Source organism: Homo sapiens, chromosome 12 (assembly GCF_000001405.40).
Source record: "Homo sapiens chromosome 12, GRCh38.p14 Primary Assembly".
NCBI classification, from domain to species: Eukaryota; Metazoa; Chordata; class Mammalia; order Primates; family Hominidae; genus Homo; species Homo sapiens.
This window is the reverse complement of record NC_000012.12, coordinates 434,024-443,169: the sequence shown is the minus strand read 5'-3', so window position 1 is coordinate 443,169 and position 9,146 is coordinate 434,024. Positions and strand designations below refer to the sequence as shown.

Below are 9,146 nucleotides of genomic sequence, written 5' to 3'. Positions count from 1 at the left end.
GGATGAAGTTTTAGTGTCATCCCCTTCGTACTAGCTTTGTTATCTCCAACACTAGATGATTTCAAAGGAGTAATTTAAAAAAACTTGTGGGCTGGGTGTGGTGGCTCACACCTGTTATCCCAGCACTCTGGGAGGCCGAGGCGGGTGGATCACCTGAGGTCAGGAGTTCAAGACCAGCCTGGCCAACATGGTGAAACCCTGACTCTACTAAAATAAAATAAAATAAAATAAATACAAAAATTAGCCGAGCATGGTGGTGAGCGCCTGTAATTACAGCTACTTGGGAGGCTGAGGCAGGAGAATCACTTCAACCCGGGAGGCGGAGGCTGCAGTGGACCGAGATCACGCCACTGCACTCCAGCCTGGGTGACGAGAGTGAAACTGTCTCAAAAACCCCCCAAAAAACCTTGTACACTTGCACAAAACTGCAGAGGCCATGGGACAAGAACGTAAACTGAGCTGCGTGAGTCATTAACGAAGCATAAATATAGTATTGAGAAGAAGTTACAGAAAACTCAAAGAAAATCTTTTGAGTGAAATATTTTATTGAAAATAGTTAATTTAAAATATATACATCATTTTTCAAAAGCCATGTGACTGATAAAAATATCAAACTTTCCATACAAGCATCATCTCAGCTTCATCCCCTCGGCAAAGTGTCTCCCGAATCTTTCCAGATGGACATTTCGTTTGAGTCTCTAGCGCCCTCTGGTGAAACACCATGAAATTGCCCAAAAACGTAATTCAGGCTCTGCTCAGGACGGAAGGTGAAATAGCAGAATGAGCGCCTATTTCAATGTGACAGGTTGTGATGTGCTGCCTTCTCCCCGAGCTCAGGAGAAAGGCAGCCTCTGTGAGTGCTTCTCTCTCTTTAGGGAAAGTATTCTTCCCATGGACACTCAGCCAAGCTTATTGCAAAATACCTTCTTCCTAAGTTTTCATCATCACTGCCTTCTGAAAAAACAAAAACCGGTCAATACAGACAGGATAAATAATGAAAGCCTCCAAGTCATTCAGGACCAGGCCCCTACTCCTCGCAAGTGTTAAAAGGACAGCAAAAATGATAAAGCAAGCTGAGTATGCAAGAAAAGCTTTCCTAGTGGTCCCCGATTCTTCAAGCTGTCTTTACAATAATGAATACCACCACTCTAGTCAACTCAGGTTTACATTTTCTGGCAGCAGATGACCTTGTCCTCAGGTTTCAAGAAGCACACCTCTTCTAAATGGGGGCCATTTCCAAAAGTAGACATTAACAGAGTCTAAGTTCATTCTCCAGACCAAACACTTTCGACTTAAGATTCTTCAGTTCTCCTTGTATCTTATGTGCCCGTCTATTGCTGTCACGGACCTCACACAGAAGGGCAAGATCCTGGTTTGCCCGGGCATTAACTGTTGCCTAGGGGTTTGAAAAAAAAAAAAAAAAAGAAATGATGATGGCATATGCCAGGGGAGCGATATCAGTCAAAAAGACACAGCTATGCTAGCTCCTTTTTGTGAGATTTTGAGTACATAGGATAAATTCCATCCTTTGTTCAGTGGCTAACTAAAGAAGGAAAATGTAGAATTAAGGCAGAAATCTCATGAAAATCCTTCCCATGCAATAAAGGAGGCTTGAGGTAGAGATCAATGCACCATGAAAGAGGAGTAAGAGAGGCCAGGATAAGCGACACTACTGGTAAGTTTGTCACAGAATGAAAGCGCAACACTACTGGTAAGTTTGTCACAGAATGAAAGCAGGCGTCTCCTCTTTTCTGCAACTAACCTTGTCTGGAACACAGGCTAACTGGCTAAATCTCATTAAGAAGACTCTTGAGGCGACTTGTATTCTAAAGAACTGTGTCTGCTGGAAAAAAGTACTCTATCACTCAATTACTCACCCTCCCCAACTGTAAGACAGACACGATTCTTTAATCTACTTCTTGAATTAGGAGGGATGACAATCTGTTTAGCTTACATCGAAGTATGAATGATGCAGTCGTTCAATGATTTCAGGGTCTTTTTATTTTCCCTCTAGCATGTTCTTGAACTAATTTTCAGGGAGGCTTGAAGATGGTGATCTGTTAGTGTTTACCAGCAGGGAAACAGCACATCCTTCTTTTCAGGGGCCCTCGTGACCATGTTCCCTCACTTACACCTCTTCTCTCCCTCGTGGCAATTCAGGACCAGCAATTACCTTATACAACATTTGCTCCAAGTCTTTCAGTTTCTGTCGGAGAACTTTAATATCTGTCTTAAAGCCTTCTACTTCCAGGATACGTCGACGCTCCAATGCCTCATAGCGTTTTGTCATTATCTGTAAACGCTTCCCCATCTTGTTAGTGCGATCCTAAATATGGGGAATGGGAAGGCATTTACGAAGGTGAGGGAAGCGTCTTCCCCAGCCATCTGCACTTCCTATTCCATTACAAGTGGCAGATAATTTCGTACCTTGAAGATCTCTCTCCTCATTCCCTCTTCCTCACGAATTCGGGCAAGTTCTTCTTCTAAGGAAATGCACTGCTCTTGGTACATATTGGACAGCTTTTTCTCTTGTACTAACTTATCTTTTAGGGACTACAAGTCAAAGGGACAAAAAACATTAACACTCAGTTCTACAATTCAGGTAATTCAAGTAGCTTTTAGGCAAAGAAAGAAAGAAAAGAAGGGATTTCCAGAGGTACAAAATGAGTTAAGGAACCAGATGACAAGGAACTTTGAGGAACATCTGAAAATCTACTTCTAGACCAGTCTCTTAAGCCCTTTTTCTAAAGTGTACACAGTAAAAATTAAAACAAATATTTTTGGCTCTGGGAAGACTCAGATAACGGAGCTCAGAAGCTGTCCCAAGGAAGACATTACAATATATGTTTTGGGCTACATTTCTAAAGTTCTTCTTTAAAAAGGAAGAAATATTAACAACAACGCTTATTATACATGCCCTATTGAGCAGTTAAAATGATCTTTTAAAAACCCAAATCAGATCATGTTACTTATTTCACACAACCCTTCAAATACATAACACTATTGAGAGCTAAGTTCACACTCCATACGATGATGCACAAGGCCCTCCACAACTGGCTGCTGCCAATGCTGGCTTCTTAAAGAGCATACCACTTCCTCCTTATTTATTCCTCTACAACCATGATGACAGCCTTCCATTTCCTTGAACATACTCCAGGGCCTATAAACTTGCTCTTCCCTCTGCCAGGAATGTTCTTCCTCAAGGTCTGTATGGCAAGCTTAGTCCCATTTTTCAGGTCTCAGCAGAAACACTAGATATAAGAGAGTGTCCCTGTGCATTCCTTCTATTAATACAATGGACTTCCAGCAACTACATATAATTTTCATGTAATTCTTTTATTCCCTTAATACCGCATTTTATAATCTATAATTTTTTCTTTTTTTTTTTCTGAGACGGAGTCCTTGCTCTGTCACTGGGCTGGAGTGCAGTGGCGCGATCTCGGCTCACTGCAACCTCTGCCTCCCAGGTTCAAGCAATTCTCCTGCCTCAGCCTCTCAAGTAGCTGGGATTACAGGTGTCCGCCACCACGCCTGGCTATTTTTTTATATTTTTGGTAGAGACAGGGTTCCGCTGTGCTGGCAAGGCTGCTCTCGAACTCCTGACCTCGTGATCCACCCACCTCTGCCTCCCAAAGTCCTTTTTTTTTTTTGAGATGGAGTCCCACTCTGTCGCCCAGGCTGGAGTACAATCGCATGATCTCAGCTCACTGCAACCTCTGCCTCCCGGGTTCAGGTGATTCTCCTGCCTCAGCCTCCCGAGTAACTGGGATTACAGGTGCCCACCACCACGCCCCACCAATTTTTATATTTTCAGTAGAGACGGGGTTTCACCATGTTGGTCAGGCTGGTCTCGAACTCCTGACCTCAGGTGATCCACCCGCCTTGGCCTCCCAAAGTGCTGGGATTACAGGTGTGAGCCATCGCGTCTGGCCTAATCTATAATTTTCTTAGTTATTTGCTAATGTTTCTGTTTTTTCTCACCCATTAAAATGTAAACACCATGAGGGAAGACCTTGTTTAGATTACTGTAACTCTAGGGCCTAACCCATAGTACGAGTGCAATAAATATTTATGTTTTTTTGTGTTTGTTTTGAGACACAGTCTCGCACTGTCATCGGGGCTGGAGTGCAGTGGCACAGTCTCGGCTGACTGCAACTTCTGCCTCCCGGGTTCAAGCAATTCTCCTGCCTCAGCCTCCCAAGTAGCTGGGATTACAGGCACCCACCATCATGCTCAGCTAATTTTTTTTTTTTTTTTGTATTTTTAGTAGAGACGGGGTTTCACCATGTTGGCCAGGCTGGTCTTGAACTCCTGACCTCACGATTTGCCCACCTAGGCCTCCCAAAGTGCTGGGATTACAGGCGTGAACCACTGTGCCCGGCCAGGAGTACAATAAATATTTGTTGAATGAATGAATGAATGAATCAACAAGTCTAATATTTTGAATCCCCAAATACTACAACGATCAGCTGCTCTTTGAAACCTAGTTCTTGAGGCAGCTGCTACCAGAGCTTCCTGGACTGAATGGATCTTACATTACAAATTGTAGGTTCTTTGGAATTCCTTCAACTCTCCCAGAAAAATAAACAACTTCGTTACGACATAAGGACATTACCTTAATATATTCACTTTGAGCATGGTGACTCTCATGCATAACGGGCAACACTTTTCCAATTTTATCTTCTTTCTTCTTACACTGCACCCTATATTGCTTAATCTTTGACATCAAATTATCTTTTTCAAGCATCCATGACTTCTCTTTATTTTGGTTTTCAGATCTGAGTTGCAGAAAATCTTTGGTGCTCTCATAGAGCAGTTCTTGGGTGTGGTGAAGACTAGGAAAGAAAGTATAAATGCAGACATGAGGATGCGCACACAGCACACCTGAAAGCAAGGATTATTCCAAAATGGAAGAGAGTGGTTCTTTTAAAATGGTGTGATATATAAATTTTGTAAAATATTAGCAGGTTTAAAAATCTGATCACTGGCAATCTTACATGTTTTACTGGGTAAAGTATAATGTATCTACCCATGCTCACTGGTTCATAGACTGGTCTTTACAGGTACTTTCCTGAGTGCGAACTTCAGATTATATGATTAGAAGGACTACAGGGATATTTACACATAGCCTGCGTTAACTATGGACCATTCCTAGGAATAAGACAAGGAAGAACTAAATCACGGTGTTCTGACAAGTTAATACAAATTCTATAGTATCAAAAACAGCTTTGCTTTTGTGTATGCTGTGCTCCATGTAGAACTGCCTATATCAAAATCTTATCCTTTGTTTATTTTAAAAAGAACTTTTTTTTTTTTTTTTTTTTAAGACAGGGTCTTGCTCTGTCACGTAGGTTGGAGTGCAGAGGCACGATCACAGCTCACAGCAGCCCTGACCTTCTGGGCTCAAGCAATCCTTCTGTCTCAGCCTCCTAAGCAGCTGGGACCACCTCCCAGGGTGTTTGCCAGCTCATTAAAAATTTGTGTGTGTGTGGAGATGGGGTCTTGCTATGTTCCTTAGGCTTGTCTGGTCTGGAACTCCTGGGCTCATACACTCCTCTCGCCCCAGCCTCCCAAAATACTGGGATTACAAGTGTGAACCACTGCACCTGGCCTACTTTTTTAAAAATCAACTTCCTGTATGAAGTCATTTCCAACAACTTTAGCCTATTTTAATTCCTCCATTCTCTGAAACTCCATCCCAGGTTAATGTTCCCTTGTCTTATAATTCAACACTTGCTCATCTGTCATATTTTAACTGTCAACATGCACTTTTTCCCAGCCTGAGTGAAAGCATATACCTTATTTATTATTTTTGCCCCAATGCCATGAGATTGTCAAGGATAATACTAACTACTGGACATACACAGGCAGTTAACAGATTCATGGTGACTATTTCCTGAAATTTAGGAATAGACAACGTCTCTATCTTTAAAAAACAATATCCCTGGAAGTTAGCAACTCATCAGTTTAACATTACCACCCAGAAAAATGCTATACTGAATGATCTGGCTGCTTGCAAGAGTATTAAATACCATGAAGCAATCACTGTATTTTTCTACCAAACAAATAATGTGAGATCCACTTATTTTCATGAGTAACAGAGTGCACAGATAAGAGGAAATGACAGCAGAGTGCCAAGCACACAGTAGAGTAAATGTCACAAGGTGAATATATACAGTCAGGTATGTGTGCATGTGTATGTAGAGAGAGATTGATTCAATTACCACAAGGGTCTCTCTCACTTTCAATGAGTTATTTTATTCTGTCTTACATTATCTTCTCAATCTCAAACTGGGAAACTATAGGCTTGTTAAAATACAAGTAGCTTGAAAGTGATACCCAAAGGGCAGTCATTAACGGCCCTGGATTTCATGCCCTTCTTAGGAAGATCCATCTAATGGAAGGAACCGATCATGTGCTCAGATATGCAGATAACGCTAAACAAGGAAGGTTACTGGTATTCTGGAAAACAGATATAAAATTACAAATTACTATGACAATATTAAAATATCTGTTCCTTAAAAACAAAACCCATTGAAATGTCAAGATGCTATACTTAAGTGCAAAAATACTAAAAATAAAAATGAAGGTGGAGAAATACTGGCCAAATGCAAACACATTATACTATGTTAAAAGAAACATAGCAGACCGGGCGCGATGGCTCCCGCCTGTAATCCCAACACTTTGGGAGGCTGAGGTGGGCAGGTTACCTGAGGTCAGGATCGAGACCAGCTTGGCCAACATGGTGAAACCCTGTCTCTACTAAGAAGGAAATCCCAGCACTTTGGGAGGCCGAGGCGGGCAGATCACGAGGTCAGATCGAGACCATCCTGGCTAACACGGTGAAACCTTGTCTCTACTAAAAATACAATTAAAAAAAAAAAATTAGCCGGGCGTGGTGGTGGGCGCCTGTAGTCCCAGCTACTCAGGAGGCTGAGGCAGGAGAATGGCATGAACCCGGGAGGCGGAGCTTGCAGTGAGCCGAGATTGTGCCACTGCACTCCAGCCTGGACGACACAGCGAGACTCTGTCTCAAAAAAAAAAAAAAAAAAAAGACAAAGGATCAGCAATAGGAACAATTTAAACAAAGGAATAGAGTTTGAATTAATGTACTAAGAATGAGAGTGCAAGGCTGGGCACAGTGGCTCATGTCTGTAATCTCAGTGCTTCAGGAGGCTGAGGTGAGAGGATTGCTTGAAACCAGGAGTTTGAGACTAGCCTGGGCAATATAGCAAGACCCCATCTCTACAAAAAATAATAAAAATAAACCAGGTTTGGTGGTATGCACCTGTAATCCTAGCGACTTGGAAGGCTGAGGCAGGAGGATTGCTTGCGCCCAGGAGTTCAAGGCTGCAGTAAGCTATGATCACACCACTGCACTCCAGCCTGGGCAACAGGGTAAGACCCTGTCTTTACTGGAAAAAATGAAACAAAACAATCAGACAGGAGATATTTTCCTGAGTGCTAACTTCGGGTTATATGATTAGAAGGACTACAGGGATATTTACACATAGCCTGCATAAGTATGGACCATTCCTAGGAATAAGACAAGGAAGTACTAAGTTGTGGAGTTCTGACAAGTTAACACAAGTTCTGTAGTATCAAAAACAGCTTTGCTTTTGTGTATGTTGTGCTCCATGTAGAACTGCCTATATCAGAGAGCAGAGAATGGACTTGAGGGGGTTTTTAGGCTTATAATTCATAGGGTTTGGAATTAAGGAATAAGAAAGTTAAGAGTTGAAGATGATCCTGTGGTTTCAAGCTTGGGAAACGGAATACATGTGATACCATGAAACTAGATGAAACACAGAAAGAAGTAGGCTTGAGACGGGGATGGGAGCATTTGGAAACGGAATACATGAGATACCATGAAACTAGATGAAACACAGAAAGAAGTAGGCTTGAGACGGGGATGGGAGCATTTGGAAACGGAATACATGTGATACCATGAAACTAGATGAAACACAGAAAGAAGTAGGCTTGAGACGGGGATGGGAGCATTTGGAAATGGAATACATGTGATACCATGAAACTAGATGAAAAACAGAAAGAAGTAGGCTTGAGACGGGGATGGGAGCATTTGGAAACGGAATACATGTGATACCATGAAACTAGATGAAACACAGAAAGAAGTAGGCTTGAGACGGGGATGGGAGCATTTGGAAACGGAATACATGTGATACCATGAAACTAGATGAAAAACAGAAAAGTAGGTTTGAGACGGGGATGGGAGCATTTGTTGGGAGAAACAACAGCGTGGTTTCAGTAATGGTAAATCTGACATGCTCAAACACATTCAACTGAGGATGTCCTTATGGCATAGGTCTGGCCACTGGAACCAGGCAAAAGGGTGAAGGGGTTAGATAGGTAGAAGAACCAAGAAAGACAGGTGCTGCAGAAATCAAGGGAAATGAATTACAAGGAGGGGCTGATCAGTGATGCCAAACATGCAGGAAGATACTAAGTATAATAAGGACTGAACTGAAGAGATATAACTGGTCTCAGAAGTTAAGAGGTAGGCCAGGCGTGGTGGCTCATGCCTGTAATCCCAGCACTTTGGGAGGCTGAGGCGGGTGGACCACCAGAGATTGGGAGTTCTAGATCAGCCTGGCTAACACAGTGACACCCCGTCTCTACTAAATATACAAAATTAGCTGGGTGTGGTGGCACATGCCTGTAATCACAGCTACTTGGAAGGCTGAGGCAGGAGAATCGCTTGAACCTGGGAGGCAGCGGTTGCAGGGAACCGGGATCACGCCACTGCACTCCAGCCTGGGCGACAGAGTGAGACTTAGTCTCCAAAAAAAAAAAAAAAAGAAAGAAAAGTTAAGAGGTCAATGGTGACCCCAGAACCCCAGAAAGGGCATGTTTAGTAAAATGGTGGGGATGAAGTCAGACTGCAGACAGGTAAAGAAAGGTAAGCAGGTTAGGAACAAAAACAATGAGGACAGAGTTTGCCATTTTTTGTTTTTATTTTTTCAGATTTTAAAAATAACCTTTTTTTTTTAAAGTATGTGCATTATAGGAAACTAAAACACACAAGAAGCAAAGAACAAAGTCATCCACAATCAGAAGCACTTTACAGTTTGTAAACTGTAAAGTTTACAGGACGTTCTACGTCCTGCGTGTGTGTAGACACAACATCC

General features: G+C 42.3%; 1 protein-coding gene across 4 annotated transcripts in view; it reads right to left on the bottom strand.

Annotated features, from left to right (window-relative positions):
* Positions 1-527: 527 nt before the first annotated feature.
* The window catches only part of CCDC77 (coiled-coil domain containing 77), a 53,296-nt gene continuing 44,677 nt past the window's right edge, over positions 528-9,146 (bottom strand). For all 4 annotated transcript variants that reach the window (NM_001130147.2, NM_001130148.2, NM_032358.4 and 1 more), the window contains 4 exons: positions 4,616-4,835; positions 2,428-2,553; positions 2,174-2,326; positions 528-1,396 (listed from right to left, as the gene is read on the bottom strand). In NM_001130147.2, the coding sequence (NP_001123619.1) occupies positions 1,250-1,396; positions 2,174-2,326; positions 2,428-2,553; positions 4,616-4,835 (646 nt within the window). In that variant the 3' untranslated portion in view covers positions 528-1,249. The remainder of the gene's footprint in view (positions 1,397-2,173; positions 2,327-2,427; positions 2,554-4,615; positions 4,836-9,146) is intronic.